The following is a 19,997-nucleotide window of genomic DNA, read 5'->3' as shown; positions in this document are numbered from 1 at the left end:
ATGTTATTTGCTGATAGTCTCTTAGGTTGTATCATTCTTGATGACATGGCTGAAAGCTCTTTTGTTTCATTAATAACATTTCTCCCATTGTAGGATGGGTAATCTCTGGGCAGGTTTCCCATTGCGAATTAAATCCAGCTAAAGAATGTGGATTCTTGTTGATTCTACAAAGAGTGTGACTTAATTTGGTTGCTATGAGTCAATTGTCACCTCAGTTATGGTTCCCCTAATCCTTGTTGATCAGAATCAATCACTTTTTTTTTCTGAGCTCTCCCAGTAGGGTACCGGTATCTCTATTTAGCAGTTATTTATTCTGCTGTAGTTACTTGCCTGTCTTATCTATTACAAGAAAGAATGAGGGTCTCTCTTATTCATCTTTGCATTCTCCATGCACCTAGCATAATGTCTTGCACATAGTAGATCTCAAAACATATTGGTTGGAAAAAATAATTTCAAAGTGGAGTAGAGTTTAAAATGCCTGTGATCTCCTTAGTGCTTAATGCATATTTTAAGAAGGTATACATTCTAACAGTAAGGGTGTGTGGATGTGTTTGGTGGAACTCCTATGTGAAATCAGGCTAGATTTTTTTTTTTTTCAAACAGAATTTTCATCAGCCAGGCAGCTTTCAGTGTTCACAACCTTATCACTACTGGCTGTAAATTTCTTTGAAAATGCCAAGTGAGGGTCACCAGGCTAATGGATTTATCCACTATGATATTCTAGGAAATTATGCCATCCAACTTGCCAGAAGTTGCTTCAAGGTCAAACACTGAAATATCTAAGTAGATTACAAGGGTGCCTGAAAGATTCCTTTTTGACAAAGTCTTGTCCATCTCTACATCTATATTCCGAACTCTGATTACATATTTCTACTGTCCATTGTTAAGATGTCTTTTCTTTACGACCTTTTCTATTTACAGTCAGAATCTAGCGGTTATTTGAATTCTCAGCTCGGTGTGTATTTCAGAAAATGTTACCCATTTAGCAAGTGCTTATTTGACTCTAAGGAACAAGGAATAAAATCAGGAAGATGAAAGAGTAACACTTCGTTCCTGTAAAGCAAGTGGACTCTGTTTGGTCAGGAATTAGAATACTATCACACCGGTGTGCTGAACTGGCTGAACAGCCTCTCTTACTGATCCATGTGTAATGATTGGCAGATATTGGGCATCCTACCAAACAAGGGACCATACAGCTCCCGTTCAGTCAGACCTTCTGAAAACATTATCCCTCACTGGCCACTTCCTGGCCAGTTATTCACTCAAGACAGGTCTTCAATCACCTGGCCAGTTATGAAACACAGCACTAACTACCTGGTTACTCTCTGGCTTCCTATTTACTTTGACAGATCTCTGATCACTGGGTTTATCACAGGAAAAACACCATCCTGAAAAGACATTAAGTGTATAGCAAAGACTCCAGCTTGAGCTTCAGTTGTGCTTCAGGTATGTTTTGAAATGCTTGATAGATTGTATATATATTCCTTGAAGACAGGAACCATCTCCTTTGTATTTTCTAAGTTGTACCTCTATCTTCATTGCCACTTTTGGGCTGCTGGTTTGACACTTCCCCTGCTTGATTTTTGAAATGCCTCATCTCACTTTGGCTTGGTTTGATTCAGCATGCCCTCCTTAACCTCCACACTGCATGTGTTAATGGCACTTCGGAGCAGCAAGGAGGAAGAGTGCTATATATGGAGGCAGGGGCATGAAGGGCTTCAAAGTAGAGAGAGATAAGTGGTCAGAGTTGGTTTTTTTTTTTTGAGACAGAGTCTTGCTCTGTTGCTTAGGCTGGGGTGCAGTGGCGCGATCTCGGGTCACTGTAACCTCGACCACCAGGGTTCAAGCGATTCTACTGCCTCAGCCTCCTGAGTAGCTGGGACTACAGGCGTGCCACCACGCTTGGCTAATTTTCGTATCTTTAGTAGAGATGGGGTTTCACCATATTGGCCAGGCTGGTCTCAAACTCCTGACCTCGTGATCCACCCACTTTGGCCTCCCAAAGTGCTGGGATTACAGGCGTAAGCCACTGCACCCGGCCCATAAATGGTCAGAGTTTTAAGACACTGGGTGATAAGAGGACTGAGAAATCAGCAGGGGTACATATTTTGAAGTGAGATTTCACCCATTTAGCTCCCTGCTCCCCAGGAATCCTTGGATTTTAGGCAAGATGCTAGACTTCTCACTGTATGATCAATAGGAGTTTGCGTCATTTTATAATTGGATATTAAATAGAAGAGTAGCCCCTGAAGGCTGGAGGACTTGGCAAATTTGGGTATTCTAGCAATTGTCATTATATATAGCTGTCTCTGTCAAAAATCCTGAGTTGGATTTTAACCCAGTTGAAGAGGAAAATCAAAGAGGAAGGCAGAGAAACATTTCTTTACATCTGTGCCAAGGGAACATGTGAGAATCTAACTCAAGATGTAGCATTGAATTTGATTCTGGAAAATACCAGAGAAGACTATAATTGAGTTCCTCTAAAGGAATAAGTTCTTTAATTCAATGTCATCTTTTACTTACAAAAAACATGCCATCACTGTGTACCAGGAAAGTAGAATTCTATTGTGCTCACCTTGAAGCGCTTTTTGTAATAAAGTCATTGGCAAGCTCTATTAATTTTTTAAAGGCAAGCAGGGGAAAAATAGTAAAACCCAAACCTCTAAATTTCTATTGATCACAGGATGCAGATCTTATTTATTGTCTCTATGTCACAAAATGGGAACATGTGGCGTTAAAAAATTAAACTTTGATCTAGGCTTCTTCCTTTCCTCTCCAGTAAATTCTATGAGTATTTTTAAAGGAGGAAAAACTAGGAAAAGCTTTTCTTTTGATGTCTAGGCACTATTTGGTTAGAATCATAGCAAATATGTTTTGTTTTTGAAGAAGCAGTATGGAATATTGTGTCGATGCTGTAATAAAGTATAGAATGTTAATGTGAAAATGTTAAATAGAGTTGTCAGACACTAATATTTTGAATTTGTAGTAAGTTTTGGTTAAATACATTTCTAAGATTAAGTGGTAAATTATGAGAACCAGGATTAACTCTGATCTGTAACATGTTCAAAGGAATACATATACTTGCAAAATAAAATGATTTAATTCTGTATAATTTCTCCATATGTTTCAGTTATTTTTTTTTCTGAGCAGGAAGAAGTACTAGAGCAAACTATAATCTGTTAGTAAGGTAAATATGAGAAGTCATAAAGTTTTTACTTCAAGATATTATTTACTTTCAAAGTTGAAACAATGCTGTGTTTTGTATTTGATAAGACTTAGACCTTGCTTCTTCTCTTTACGTGTAGAGAATTAGTTATCACAAACACTTGCTTTGGAGACTGGAGGACACAGAGATGCCTGAGTTTTTCCTGTTCAGTCATTCTGTTTCACAGTGGTTTCAGAGAGGAAATAATAACTGCTGCAATGACCTGGCAGTTTCTACTCCATGCAAGTCTAAGTAATTTGGAGGGGACACTGCATTCAGTCATTGTTTTGTGATAAAGAAGTACCTATATATTCAAGAGAAAAGAAAGTGGAGGCATGAATTCAGAGAATTATTTAAGCCCAATCCTCCATGTGCTGAATGAAAATCGCAGGCCCAAACAAAATTACAGGTATAGTTTTTGCCACTTTTCATAGGAAAGCATAATATGAGGCAATGTATTGAAATAAACTGTAAAAAGGCCTCAAGCAATTGAGGTTGGTCATTAGCTTTTTTTATAGGGAAATTCTCTATTTGGGTTACAGTGTCAAGGTTATCTTTCATCTGGAAAATTTTGTAATTTTGCATTGAATTAGAGGCTGTTACTTATTTTTAAAACTAGTGTATGCAAATTATGATTAAATTCCTGGGTATTTAATCTTTTGAATATCATTTAAAAAATAGAAATGATGGCACACTGAGATAATAATTAACTCATTATGAATAATTTATTTTATAGCTTGAAACTCTGCATAAAGCAAGTTGCTGTTGCCTAAATTTTCAGGCAGATTCTAGTTAAGATATCAGTAAGTTTGAGCCATGTATGTAGTATTATGTAGTGAGAAATATTTATAATGTGGATGCTAAAAATTCCCAGCTTGAAACCCTAAAAGAACTATGCTGTCCAAATAGTGTTTTCTAATACAATAAACAGCTTTTGCCTTCCTGAAAAACAGGGCAACTAAATCTGCTTTGACTATAGGTGGCTTTTATATTTTAAAAATTTACAGCAATTATAATTAATCTTTTTTAAGCTGGAGAGTGAATATAATCATCTTCTGATTACAGATTTTAAATAATGGAGGCCATTAGACATCACAGAATTTTCCAGGTTCAAACAGCTTGTCATTCATAGATGATATTAAATTCTCATGTCAAGGATCCACTGTTTGCCTATTTATTTATTTTATCCTTTTGCATTTTGTTGCTTCAGAATTTACTATGTGCCAAACAATATTCTAAGCATTTACAATAATCCTGTAAGGCAAGCACTGTTATTATCTCCATTTTATGGAGGAGAAGTGTGGTATAGTAGAAATAGTACTGTATGGGTTTAGCATCAAACAGACTTGGTTGAATCCTGAATCCACCACTTACTAACGATGTGGCCATAGGCACTTATTGTGTACTTATGTTGTGAACTTCAATTTCCTTTAAACAAAATGAGGGAAGATACTACGTACCTCACAGGGTTATTGTGAACATTAGATAGGAATACAGGAAATCACTTTACCCAGTTTCTGACAAATAATAAGTTTTCAATATAGTTTAATTTCCTTCCTATTCCCTTCAACCTTGTGTTAGTCAGGACTCTTGGTTACAAGTGATGGGAACCCACATCAAATGGACTTTAACAAAAACGAAAACGTTGGTTCATTTAACAGGGAAATTTAGGGGTTCTACCAATGTCAGTAGAATGTCTGTCTCTTGGCACTGTGTTCCACTGTTTTGGCTTATTTTCATGCAGACTATCAATCTAATCCATTTAAAACCTTAATCGGCTTTTTACCAATTTGCATCTGGTCAGCGTTACGGGCTGGTAACCAAAGACACATATCTCCGTGAGTCATGGTGTTGTAGGAAAAACCGGTTCTTGTCACACGACCAGGAAAGATTAGGCTCGCAGGCACTTTGAAGGGTGAGGGGTAACAGAATTTATTGGGCAAAAAGGAAAAAGGAAAAACAACACAGCAAAGTGAGATGAAGTCCTGCTAACAGGCTCTCCACCTCATCGATTAAATTCCAGGTCACCACACAGGAACAGGAAAGGCCAGGCTCCTCCCCCCTGCAAATGGTGCGAACTTTCCTGGCTCCACCCTGTTCTTCCAGTGCGCAGGCCGGTTGGAGATTCTCCAAGGACTCTTTTATGCTTGGCTGTTTCAATGGCCCTTGAATCTGTGCCTCAGAGTTTCTGTCTTTAGGCAACAGACCTAGGGCTTTGACCATTGACTCAACGCTTAGTTAAATGGCATCTGTCTTGCTCATTCTTGGGATAATACAAGTAATAGTAGGTTAGGGTGTGGTGGAGATAAAGTTCATCTGTCTCTTGCCCGTGGCAGAATCCCAATGAACTGTTCTTTAAAATGCAGGTAGTTGTGCTCTTTGTCACACAGGAAATGCACAGGATAAAGTCATAGGTAAGGAGCTAGGGGATTAGTACCAGTCTTATCTCTTGTGATATATCCTGTTTTGTAAACTTTACTCACATTAAGTTTAGCTTGGAGCAGAGTATACAGCACTTCCAACCTGGTAAGATTCATGGTTATCTGTCAGTCATTTTGTATTGCTGGCCATAAGCAGAAGGTGTCTCCTTATGTACTTTCAGACACATAAGCTTGGGCCACAGCTTTTATCTTCCTGATAGGCACTTATTCAAGATCAAAAGCAGTAATCAATGAAATTCAATAACCTGAAGTATTTATATCAAGTACCCAAAGTCTGAATCCTAGGATACAATAGGAACAGTTTAATAAGCTACTGCAAAATAGAGCTTGCCTATTTTCCAGCTGGAGACAAGAGAATCTTTAATGTCCTGCATTCTAATCACAATCGACCAGTTCCACTTTTGTGATATGTTACTTTTCAGTACCACTCTTCTAGATATCAATATCAATTTTTTTGCGATAGGGTGTCACTCTGCTGCCCAGGCTGGAGTGCAGTGGCACAATCACGGTTCACTAAAGCCTTGACCTCCCTGGGCTCAGGTGATCCTCCTACCTCAGTGTCCCAAGTAGCTGGGACTACAGGCACACACCACTATGTCTGGCTAATTTTTGTATTTTTTGTAGAGATGGGGTTTGGCCATGTTGTCCAGGCTGGACTTGAACTCCTGAGCTCAAGCAATCCTCCCACCTCAGCCTCCCAAAGTGCTGGGATTACAGGTGTGAGCTGTCGCTCCCAGCCCAGTATCAATTTTATGAGCGGTCTTTGGGTTTCAAGGGACAAAAACCAATTCAAACTTGTTTATTGACTTACATGATGAAGATGTTCTGGAATGGCTAAATCTAAAGGTTCAAATCTTATCATGAGAGTGCTGTACCTCTCTAAGCAAATGGGCAATTAGCATACCGAATGATAAAGTTAGCTGTAGGGTGCCATGCTAGAACAGAATAGAAAGCCAAATAAAATTTCTCTTTTTCTTAAAAAGTTCCTAGTATAGCAGGAAACATATACATATAGAGACATCAGTCTATATAACCTGTAAAACCTTAAGGAAGAAGAGCATGAGAAGTGGTCTTTGAAAAGGAAGATAAATGGAGAAAGAAATGGAGCTTTCCTAGAAATATAGCCAGCCGAAGAGAAAGTAGAATTATATACAGTTCATATATAATTCAATTCTACAGACATGCCATCAGTGTATATTAGTTTGCAGAGAGATACAGATTTATACAAATGTTTGAAGCAAAGTACCATTTAGCGAATTTTTGAAACACTAAAATCTTAAGTCCTTAATTCATTGAGTCATTCAGTAGATTGACTGCCTATGTTATGCTGGGTGCTATGTTCTTTGAAGCCTCACTGAGTCTTTGAAATAAACCTTTTCACAGTAGTTGGTAGTTTTTATAATAAATAGGACTTTCAAAATACAACCTTTAACACACAAATATGAGATGCCTCCTGAGCTGAAATGCTAAGTTTTGTTTTGATGATGTTTTGCTGCAATCTTCCAAACTTCCATTTAAACATATTTCCTTTAATCATAAAGATGATGTCAAAATTCATTCAGAAATGTCTTCAAAATTCTCATTAGCACATGAAGAAAATTTTCATTGATTTGATTGAAGGAAAAGGCGAGCACTTCCATACATATTCTTGAAAGGGAAGATAGAAGCCTGCACTCCAACTGATGAAGGCCAACTATTGAGTTTTACTGATCTTTCTTTTTCCCTAAAAGGGTTACTTCTCTTTTCCTCAGTTTGCTTTCTTCTACCAAAGAGTAACAATGACTTATTCTGTGATTGAGAACTAAACAGCCAAGCTCTGACCTGAGCATAGAGGGAGTAGGGCTTGCCATGTAATGTCTAGCTGTTACTTACACTTGGCTTTTTGCTTGCATTTCTTTGTGGCAGACAAATAAGTGATACAATCTTTCTGAAAGCTTTCAGAATGTCCCAGAGGGCTGCCTTAGAAAAAGCCAAATCTCTGCTGAACTCAAGAAAGAAAGCAATTTCTGTCCATGTGAAAGACGGAGAGAGTAGAACAGTGTATTGACCACTGTGGGGATTTTAAGGGTATCTAGGGAAAATCAGTTTCCCTAGGGTACAATCTAAATTTTATTTGATGGATGGTATCTACTGATGTAGCTCTGTCTTTTGTAAAGAAGCAAGCCAACTTATTATTGACTTATGAATCTGAAGAAAAAAGGCAGGGAAAATATAAAGCAGCAGCATGCTTTCTCACTGTCAAGTGTACATGGATTTGATGTCAAAATGAAGTTAACATTTGTCTTGGGAATCACTTTGAATAATTTAGAAATAATATTAAATGATTAACACCTATGTTCTGTCATTCTTGTTCCTACCTGTTCTCATATGATATAACGTTATTATACATTGTGTTTCATCCCGAAGGATCCCAGGGTGGTTTACAATCACGCCATACTTTTAAATCAGTCCAGGTCTCCTGGTTGAACAATGTATTTGGGATGACAGAATTATAACTTTCTTGGCAGACCCATGCATAATTCACTAAGATTATCTGCACTACAAAAAAAATCAGTTTATATATAATTCTTAATAATGGAAAAATCACTCCCTTAAGTTGAATGCTTGTCAAAATGAGGAAGAGGCTGAACTAGCAATGCTGAGTAAGAGTACTAGGCCGGGTGCGGTGGCTCATGCCTGTAATCCCAGAACTTTGGAGGCTGAGGTGGGCAGATCATCTGAGGTTGGGAGTTCAAGACGAGCCTGACCAACATGGAGAAACCCCGTCTCTACTAAAAATACAAAAATCAGCTGGGCATGGTGGTGCATGCCTGCAATCCCAGCTACTCAGGAGGCTGAGGCAGGAGAATCTCTCGAACTCGGGAGGCGGAGGTTGCGGTGAGCCAAGATCGCGCCATTGCACTCCAGCCTGGGCAACAAGAGCGAAACTCCATCTCAAAAAACAAAAAAAAGCAAAGAGTACCAAACTTGTGTTATCATTCTGTTTCCACCAGGGATGGGCTTGTAAAGGATTGTGTAAAGGGGACTGATACATAGAGCAAATTACATAGTTTATGTATCTGGATACATCAGTGAGTTACAATGCATTGCCCTGTGTTCCAGAACTCTAGCTAGAGTCAAAGGGCTTGTTAAACCTACACTGGTCACTCTTCTGTGAAAGGAACCATATCAGGCATACCAGACCTGTACTACATACCCTGCTTGCCCTTTTGCTGCTGCTCAAATTCAAAGTGTCTGTGTTAAGGTGCTCCCACTCATCTTCCTCACATTGATAGACTGAAAGAAAGAAAAGAAGCAGATGAAACTTAACAAAATCAGTTTGTGCAACTTACAGAGCATATCTGCCAATAAAATGTTATTTGTAACTTAGAGTTTATAATAATTTGGACACAGCATTACTATTTTTAAAATATTCTTAATTTTTTTGGTATATATTTATGAGGTACAATGTGATATTTTGATTGTGTATTCACAGCAGAATGATTAAGTCAAGCTGATTAATATATCCATTGTTTCACATACCATTTTTTTTTTTTTTTGTGGTGAGAGCATTTGAAATCTACTGTCTTGGTAATTTTCAAGCATACAGCACATTATTATTAACTATAATCATCATGCTGTATAATAGATCTCCAGAACTTATTTCTCTTTTCCAACTGACACTTTGTGTGTGTGTGTGCGTGTGTGTGTGTGTGTGTGTGTGTGTTTGATGGAGTCTCTCTCTATTGCCCAGGCTGGAGTGCAATGGCATGATTTCAGCTCACTGCAACCTCTGCCTCCCAGGTTCAACCAATTCTCCTGCCTCAGCCTCCCTAGTAGTTGGGATTACAGGCACCTGCCACCATGCCTGGTTAATTTTTTTTGTATTTTTAGTGGAGACAGGGTTTCACTATGTTGGCCAGGCTGGTCTCAAACTCCTGACCTCAAGTAATTTGCCTGCTGTGGCCTCCCAAAGTGCTGGGATTACAGGCCTGAGCCACCACACCCAGCCTGAAACTTTTTGTTCTTTAACCAACATCTCCCCATCATGCCCTCCGCCCCAGTCCCTGGTAATCACCATTCTACTCTAATTCAATGAGTTCAACTCTACTTCAATGAGTTCAACTATTTTAGATTCCACATATAAGTGAGATCAGGCAGTATTTGTCTTTCTGTGTCTGGGTTTGTTTCACTTAATGCCCTCCAGATTCATCTGTGTTGTTGCAAATGGCAGGATTTCCTTGTTTTTAAAGGCTGAATAGTATTCCATTATGTGTATGTACCACATTTTCTTTATCCATTCATCTGTTGATGTCAGCATAATTCTTACTGAGAAAAAAGCTCAAAATTTCTTTCTTTTGACTTTAAGGGCTAACTAAAGATTAAGAAGAATCAGAATTCAGTAGTTTATCCAACCCTGGTACCAAAAACTTAAGGCCCAGTCCAAACTTCCAGGTGGCTTTGTTTACACTGTGAGGGGAAAACCACCTACTCAAGCCTCAGTAATGGCAGACACCCCTCCCCCCACCAAGCTGGAGTGTCCCAGGTCAACTTCAGACTGCTGTGCTCGCAGGGAGAATTTCAAGACAGTGGAGCTTAGCTTGTTGGGCTCCATGGGGGTGGGATCTGCTGAGCAAGACCACTTGGCTCCCTGGCTTCAGCCCCCTTTCCAAGGGAGTGAACGGTTCTGTCTCGCTGGCATTCCAGGTGCCACTGGGGCATGAAAAAACTCCTGCAGCTAGCTCAGTGTCTGCCTAAATGGCCACTCAGTTTTGTGCTTGAAACCAGGGCTCTGGTGGTGTAGGCACCCGAGGGAATCTCCTGGTCTGTGGGTTGTGAAGACCATGGGAAAAGCGTAGTATCTGGGCCAGATAGCACAGTTCCTCACGGCACAGTTCCTCATGGCTTCCCTTGGCTAGGGGAGGGAGTTCCCCAATCCCTTGTCCTTCCTGGGTAAGGCGACACCCCACCCTGCTTCGCTTCGCCCTCTGTGGGCTGCACCCTGTCTAACCAGTCCCAGTGAGATGAACCGGGTACCTCAGTTGGAAATGCAGAAATCACCTGCCTTCTGCGTTGGTCTCACTGGGAGATGCAGACTGGAGCTGTTCTTGTTCGGCCATCTTGCCCGGGAATCCTTCTCTTTAGTCTTAAAATGTAACCTTGAAACAAACTGGAGAAACCTTTTATTCGCCCTTAGTCTTAGAATATAGCCTTAAAATGTACTTTGAAACTCTGTCTCCTTTCCTTTCCCAGGAGACACTCTTATCTAACTGTATGTTTGTTGAGAAATTCCAGGGGCTAATTTTAAAACAAACCAGGCGTGGAGACACAGCTGCAGAATTCTCTTCCATTTAGAGATTACCTCAAGATGGAAAATCTACAGCCCAGTCACAACTTAGATGGGGTCAACCAGCACTCCAGGTAGACAATAACTCACAATAGCCATTGGAACAAGACACACAGACCCTGAACTCTGCACAACTCCTGCATGCCTTCCATACCAAGTTTCCCTTCTTAAAACCCTGCCCTTAGCTGAAAACTTGGAGATGGTTTCTTTGAGGCTTGAGCCTGGCCATGTCCCAACTGCTAGAATTTGATAAATAAAGGTACTTTTCTTTCACCACATCTCGCTTCTCACGTTTTGACTTCCGAACAGTGATCAGCTGGCTTTGCATTCAGTTACAGAATTACACTAGTCTGTGCATACTAAGAGGTGGAGATCACTGGAGGCCATCTTAGAAGCTGCCTATCACACCAGCGCTTTGCATGACTCTCGAGCATAGTCCAAAGTGACCAGTCTAGACTTTCTCGGTAATTAAATTAGAATTTCTCTGTGTAAACACATATTGTTTTATCTTTAAAATTACATGTAAATGTTTGTGTGGTACTCCAAGTATAGATACATTTGTATAAAAGTAATGCTTTCCCCCAAATCTTTAAGTACAATTGAGGCTCCAGGAAGATGTCTATTTTATGGCATCATCGGCACATTGCATCTTTCTACCTCAGCGCTAAGGGTTACTAGTTTGAGAGGGTCTGGATTATTTTGAAGCTCATCAGGGTCTTGTTGTCAGGGCTGAATTTTCATCTCCTCTAAATTCATTTGCCCTATTTAAAATTCTCCCATTAACCATATTCTTTTGTTTAATCCTGGCATTCTGTATTATATAGAAGTTAAACTTTTCTTTCGATGAATGGGAATATTTTAAACTATATTCAGAAGTTGAACACTTAGTCTGTGCTCAGCTTTCAAACAGAGCTGATTTTATTTATCAGGCCAAGGATTTACCAGCTATTTATTTATCTGTACTTGACTTTGCAACAGATTAGGTGGCAACTTCTGGGTATGAAATTTCTCCTCTCTTTTGTTTAGAAGGAGAAACTTCAAAGGAAGGGAAATTTTTGAATTTATTATTGAAAAATTAGAGGGCTATGTGAAGGCTGTCAGGGAATGTGTGAACTATTATCACAGTATTGCTTTCAAGTTCTATGTACATAAATGTTTCTGTTATTTTGCTTTTATTATACTAGTGACCTTCAAGAATTTTCTGATAAACAAACTCTGATAAACTATGTTTTTTGGTGGGTAAGGGAAGATTCTATATATGTTAGTTTTTCTTTTTTTCATTAACATGCATATTTCATAATATTAAGTTTTTATTTTTCTGTGGATAAACCACTAGTCTGCTCTCTTTGGAACCTGTGCTAGAATTGAAGGAACCTCATTTTGCTAATATATATTTGCCAAAAAAAAAAAAAAAAGACAAAGCCAAGTGGCTTTCTTTCCATCTTCCCACTGACTCTCTTTTTTTATTTTTTTAAATAAAGGGAATTCTTTTTTTTTTTTTTTTTTTTTTTTTATCCAAAGGGTGAGCTACTTGCCAAGCATACTGATAGGGGAGTCAGATGTTAGATGCTATTTCAGGTGGGAGATAAGCAGCAAAGTATTAAAAAATACAAGGCATTCAAATCTGATATATTGTATGATCAGATTATTCACTGCCACATAGAAAATAGGAAACAGCCTGATTTGGATTTCTGCTCACTTACAGGCCTATATGGAGTCAGCAGAGGTGATTTTTCCTCTTCCTTCCTTCCTTTTTTCTTTTTTAAAAAATATTTTAAGGATCAGGGATTTCTGTACCTTTCTCATATTGTGAAGAAAGTAGAAAATGCTGGAAGGAAACATATTTCCCCTTCACTATATATATTTTGGTAACAGTTTTATTGAGATATAATTCAGATATCACACAATTCACCCATTTAAAGCGTTCCATTCAATGGTTTATACTATACTTACAGAGTTCTGCAACCATCACCGCAATCAATTTTAGAACATTTCATCACCTCAAATAGAAATCCTATACCCTTTAGCTATGACTCATAAACTCCCACCTCCCCATTTCCTTCCAGCCATAGGCAGCCAATATTCCATTTTCTATTTCTTTAGAGTTCCCTATTCTGGACACGTTACATAAATGGAATCATAAAATGTGGAATTTGTGTCAGCTTTCTTTCAGTTAGCACAATATTTTCTTTTTTTTAATATTATACTTTAAGTTCTAGGGTACATGTGCCAATGTGCAGATTTGTTACATATGTATACATGTGCCATGTTGGTTTGCTGCACCCATTAACTCGTCATTTACATTAGGTATTTCTCCTAATGCTATCCCTCCCCCATCCCCCCACCCTACAACAGGCCCCAGTGTGTGATGTTCCCTGCCTTGTGTCCAAGTGTTCTCATTGTTCATTTCCCACCTATGAGTGAGAATATGTGGTGTTTAGTTTTCTGTCCTTGTGATAGTTTGCTCAGAATGATGGTTTCCAGCTTCATCCACATCCCTACAAAGGACATGAACTCATCCTTTTGTATGGCTGCATAGTATTCCATGGTATATATGTGCCACATTTTCTTAATCCAGTCTATCATTGATGGACACTGGGGCTGGTTCCAAGTCTTTGCTATTGTGAATAGTGCCACAATAAACATATGTGTGCATGTGTCTTTATAGTAGCATGATTTATAATCCTTTGGTTATATACCCAGTAATGGGATCACTGAGTCTAATGGTATTTCTAGTTTTAGATCCTTGAGGAATCACCACACTGTCTTCCACAATGATTGAACTAATTTACACTCCCACCAACAGTGTAACAGGGTTCCTATTTCCCCACAACGTCTGCAGCACGTGTTGTTTCCTGACTTTCTAATGATCGCCATTCTAACTGGTGTGAGATGGTGTCTCATTGTGGTTTTGATTTGCATTTCTCTGATGGCCAGTGATGATGAGCATTTTTTCATATGTTTGTTGGCTGCATAAATGTCTTCTTTTGAGAAGTGACTGTTCATATCCTTTGCCCGCTTTTTGATGGGGTTGTTTGTAAATTTGTTCAAGTTCTTTGTAGATTCTGGATATTAGCCCTTTGTCAGATGGATAGATTGCAAACATTTTCTTCCATTCTGTGGGTTGTCTGTTCACTCTGATGGCAGTTTCTTTTGCTGAGTTAGCACAATGTTTTCAAGGTTCATACATGTTCTAGCACAAATAAGAAATTCATTCCTTTATATAGCTGAATAATATTTCATTGTATGGGTGTAACATTTTGTTTAATCATTCCTCAGTTGGTGGACATTTTAGTCGTTTCTACCTTTTAGGCTACTATGGATAATGCTGCTATAAATATTCATTTATAAGTTTTTGTGTGGGGATATGTTTTCATTTCTTTTGAGTATATTCCTTAAAGTAGAATTAGGGAATCAAAAGATAACACTATATTTAAATTTTTGAAAAACTTCTGGACTGTTTTCCAAAGTGACTGCACCAGTTTCCATTTCCACCAGCAGCATATGATGGTTTCAATTTCTCCACATCCTCTCCAACACTTTTTTTTTGGTCTGGCTTTTCAATTATAGACATCCTAGTGGGTGTAAGAAGTGTCTCATTGGGATTTTGATTTGTATTATCTTGATGGCTAATAATGTCAAGCATGTATTCATGTGTTGATTGGATATTTGTATATCTTCTTTGAAGAAGTGTCTATTCAGATCCTTTGTCCATTTTTTATTTGGGTTATTTATCATTTTTATTATTGAGTTGTAAATGTTATGTATATGTTCTAGATACAAGTCTCTTTCAGATATATGATTGGCACTTTCTTCCATTCTGTGGGTTGTGTTTCCACTTTCTTAATAGTATACTTCGAAGCACAAGTGTTTAATTTTTATGAAGTTCGATTTATATATTTTTGTTTTGTTGTCTGTGCTTTTGATAGTATATCTAAGAATCCATTTCCAAATCCAAGGTTATCAAGATTTATCCCTATGTTTTCTTGTAAGAGTGTTATGGTTATAGCACTTATGTTTACATAATTGATCCGTTTTGACTTGTTTTTTATATGGTGTGATGTAGGAGGTTCAACTTCATTCTTTATGCATTTGGCTATTAAGTTGTTCCAGCACCATTTGTTGAAGAGACTATTCTTTCCTTATTGAATGATCTGATACCCTTGTCAAAAATCAATTGACCATGGATATATGTTTTTTTCCCTGAACTCTCAATTCTATTTCATTGATCTATATATGTCTACCCTTATGCCACTACCACACTGTCTTGATTAGTATTGCTTTGTAGTAAGCTTGGAACTGAAAAGTGTGAGTCTTCAAACTTTGTTCTTTTTTAAAGATTGTTCATGTTATTATGGGTCCTTTGAATTTCTATATGAATTTTAGTATCAGCTTGTCAATTTCTGCAAAAAAAGCCAGATGAGATTCTGATAGGGATTGAATGGAATCTATAGATCAATTTAGGGAATATTGAGATCTCTATTATACTAAGTCTTCTGATCATATAAATATGATATCTTTCCATTTATTTGGATCTTCTTTAACTTCTTTCAACATTATTTTTTAGTTTTCAGTGTATGTTTTGCACCTATCTTGTTAAATTTATTCCTAAGTATTTTTTTATGCAATTGTAAATGGAATTGTTTTCTTACTATCATTTTGGATTGTTCACTGCAAGTATATGCAAATAAAATTAATTTTTGTATGTTGATCTTGTATCCTGCAACCTTTCTGAACTCATTTCCTAATTCTAATAGATGTTTAGTGGTTCATTACATTTTAAATTGAAAAATAACAAATACTTACTTTAAAAGCCAATCTATATCAATATCTGTATCTATCTATATCTATATCTATATATCTATATCTATATCAATCTATATCAATCTGTATCAATCTATATCTATATCAATCTATATCATATATCTATATGCAAAATTTTTCCAATGCATTTCTTAAAGTAATGTTTTCTGTCACACCTTTCTCTATGCTTATTCAAATACGTGCGTGTGCACACAGACACACACACACACACACACACACACCTCTCTGTAAGGTAATGCATATACATAGAACACATTCTTTTTTTTTAAATTTTATTATTATTACACTTTAAGTTTTAGGGTACATGTGCACAATGTGCAGGTTTGTTACATATGTATACATGTGCCATGTTGGTGTGCTGCACCCCTTAACTTGTCATTTAACATTAGGTATATCTCCTAATGCTATCCCTCCCCCCTCCCCCCACCCCACAACAGTCCCGGGAATGTGATGTTCCCCTTCCTGTGTCCATGTGTTCTCATTGTTCAATTCCCACCTGTGAGTGAGAACATGCGGTGTTTGGTTTTTTGTCCTTGCGCTAGTTTGCTGAGAATGATGGTTTCCAGCTTCATCCATGTCCCTACAAAGGACATGAACTCATCCTTTTTTATGGCTGCATAGTATTCCATGGTGTATATGTGCCACATTTTCTTAATCCAGTCTATCGTTGTTGGATATTTGGGTTGGTTCCAAGTCTTTGCTATTGTGAATAGTAGAGCACATTCTTTTTTTTTTTTTTTCTTTTTTTTTTTGAGACGGAGTCTTGCTCTGTCGCCCAGGCTGGAGTGCAGTGGCGCAATCTCGGCTCACTGCAAGCTCCGCCTCCCAGGTTCACGCCATTCTTCTGCCTCGGCCTCCCGAGTAGCTGAGACTACAGGCGCCCGCCACTATGCCCAGCTGATTTTTTTGTATTTTTAGTAGAGACAGGGTTTTACCGTGTTAGCCAGGGTGGTCTCGATCTCCTGACCTCGTGATCTGCCCACCTCTGCCTCCCAAAATGCTGGGATTACAGGTGTGAACCACTGCGCCTGGCCAAGCACATTCTTTTTCGATGGTGGTATAATATTACATGATGTTGATGCACCATTTTGTTGAATTATTTTCTTGTTAATGGAAATTGATATTTTCTTTTAATTATTTGGTTTACCATTAAGTTAATAATGCAAAGCAACAATTTGTGTATGTTCTTACTATAAAGGTCTGGGATTTGATTTTACCCTAATTCTAAGCTAACCAGTTCGACTGCCATGGTTTCATAGATGCTATAGAAGGCAAAATACTTCTGGGTTAAAGACAAAAGGTATTATTACATACAGCACTGCAAGCAGTATGAGCACAAGTATATTCACATCAGTTCCCGTTGTTCCTCAGTCCCGCAGGGGAGATGATATGGCCCTGATTGATGCTTTATAGGCAGTGTGTTTGTGGTACACCTGAGGAGCACTAAGCTTAGAAAATCGACCATTTTTGTAGCAGACAGTAAGTAAGCCTGCTTTTGTACTCATTCCTGAAGGTTGCTCACTGCAAACATAACCTGAGGAATGGACCAAGTAAAGAGCAATCAGGCTTTTATGTTCTTAGCATACTCAGCAAGATATGTAGGATTCCGAGAAAACCATGGATGACTGTTTCTCCTACAACATACGTACTGGTCATTTTTATTTCTTAGGCTAGATTTCCCAATGTGGGACTCTGGTTAAATTATGTGTGTGCATGTATATGTTTATATATATATGTATATATACACACATACACACATATATGTGTATGCATATGTATATACACAAATATGTATATACACACACATACAAATATACTGGTTAAACTATATACGTGTGTGTATGGTGTATATATACATATAATTAGTCTTTTTAATTGGAATGCTTCTCTTTTTATCATCAGTTTGGAGGATATAAACTTTTTGTTGTAATTTTTCAAATATATTTCCCAGTTTATCATTGCCTTTTGACTTTAAATTATATATATGTATATATATAATCTAACCTTTATATTTATATATGTACATTATATTTACATGTATATATGCATATACATATGTGTGTATATGTATGTATACATATGTGTATATGTGTGTATATGTATGTATACATATGTGTATATGTATGTATACATATGTGTATATAGACATAGGTGTATGTATACATGTATGTGTATATATGTAACCACTGTTTATTTAAATATAAGCCACTATTTTAATATAAATATATTTATATTTACATATATAATTTAACTTACTATATTTTATTTAACTGGATGTTGGCAGATTGGTTTTTAGAAGGTTGCAAAAATTTACACTCTCACCAGTAACATTGGTATATACCCATTCTTAAAAATATTCTCACCAATGTTGAATCCTGTAACTTTTCTCTGAGTACTAGTGAGGTTGACCACATTTTCATATTTAGTGGACACTCTTCTCTCAAATACCTCTTCAAATCTGTATCAGTTAGAAATGTTTTTTGGCTGCAAGTATCAGGCTATCTGGTTAAGAGTGATTTAAGCAATAATGACAATTAATACCACATTACAAGATGTCTATAAGTAAGCAGAAAGTTGATCATGCAGTTGCTCAAAAATGGCATCAAAATCCCAGGATTTCTTTCTTTCAGATATACCATTCTTTGCAGGTGGGGAATTGATGTTTGCAAGCTATGTGCCACAGCTCCAGGCATCATGTCCACATTAAAGGCAGATAAAAGAGAAGATGAGCAGCAAGAGCTGTATCTGTTTCTTTTATAAAAACAAAACAAAAGCTGTTTCAGAAGCCACTCCCTTTTCCACAGCAAACTTCTAGTTAAGTCTCAGTGACCAGATCTGGGATGTATGGCCATTCATAGAGGCTGGGAAAGCAAGCATTAACTTTTCTAGCTTCCATAGTATTTGTGGGTAAGAGGTAAGGGAGAGCAAAGCTGGAAATGGTTGCTCTGTTAGCTGACTATGATGGTTAATTTTATGTGTCAACTTGGCTGGGCCACAATGCCCAGATATTTGGTCAAATATTATTCCGGATGTCCTTTGGTGCTTTTTGATAGGATTAACATTTAAATTGGAAAATTCAGAGTAAAGTAGATTGTTCTCCATAATGTAAGTGGGCTAAGTTCAAATAGTTTCAAGGTCTGAAAAAAGACTGACCTCTTCTGAGCAAGAGTGAATTCTGTGGCAGAGTGCCTTAGGCCTGGAACTGCAGTCCTATCAACTCTTCTCTGGGTTTCCAGCCTGCTGGCCGACCCTGCAGATTTTGGCCTTGCCAGCCTCCTTAATTGTGGGAGCCAGTTCCTTAAAAACAATCTCTTTTTCTCTATATACACATTTCCTATTAGTTCTGTTCTCTGGAGAACCCTGACTAATACACCAACTAATAGTATTTGCCAGAATACTTTTGGCTCCTTTTAAATTGTTTCTTTTTTTTCTCATCAATTTGTAGGATATTAACTTCTTGTCATATTCTTTTTCAAATATCTTTTCTAGTTTGTTATTGCCTATTGCCTTTTGACTTTAGTTTCTTTCTTTTTTTTTAAAGCTATGAGCTATTTCAAACAGAAAAAATATACAGAGAAAAATATAATGAACACTCATGCGCTTTTTTTTTTTTTTTTTTGAAACAGAGTCTTGCTCTGTCACCTAGGCTGGAGTGCAGTGGCATGATCTCGGCTCACTGCAACCTCTGCCTCCTGGGTTCAAGCGATTCTCCTGCCTGAGCCTTCTGAATAGCTGGGACTACAGGCACGCCTGGCTAATTTTTTGTGTTTTTAGTAGAGATGGAGTTTCGCCATATTGCTCAGGCTGGTCTCGAACTTCTGACCTCCATTGATCTGCCTGCCTACCTTGGCCTCCCAAAGTGCTGGGATTACAGGTGTGAGCCACCATGCCAAGCCCTCATGTACTCTTTATCCAGTTTTATTAAATACTAACAATATGGCATTCTGCTTCAGATCTTTTTAAACTAATAAAACAATACTAATAGAATTGAAAGTCCTATATTCTCCACTCTAAGCCCAGCATGCTCCCTCTGTAAAGCTACCTCTGTCCTAATTTTTGTGCTTATCATTACGGTGTACATTTTTATACTTGTTTTATGTGCTGTTATTCTTGGATAAATGATATGTGTATATACATTTCTGTCTTCTTAACAAATATGGAGTTTTTGATGTTATGTGTAGGATTTTATATATGTCTATTT

The 19,997-nt window shown here is 37.7% G+C and overlaps 1 long non-coding RNA gene across 1 annotated transcript in view; it reads left to right on the top strand.

Annotated features, from left to right (window-relative positions):
* The first annotated feature begins 1,387 nt into the window (after positions 1-1,387).
* Positions 1,388-19,997, top strand: part of LOC107985714 (uncharacterized) — a 114,069-nt gene continuing 95,459 nt past the window's right edge. Inside the window, exon 1 of the long non-coding RNA XR_001755917.2 lies at positions 1,388-1,446. This is a non-coding gene — a long non-coding RNA (uncharacterized LOC107985714). The remainder of the gene's footprint in view (positions 1,447-19,997) is intronic.

The sequence above is a fragment of the Homo sapiens genome, chromosome X (genome assembly GCF_000001405.40).
Source record: "Homo sapiens chromosome X, GRCh38.p14 Primary Assembly".
Taxonomy (NCBI): Eukaryota; Metazoa; Chordata; class Mammalia; order Primates; family Hominidae; genus Homo; species Homo sapiens.
This window is presented reverse-complemented; position numbering and strand designations above follow the sequence as displayed.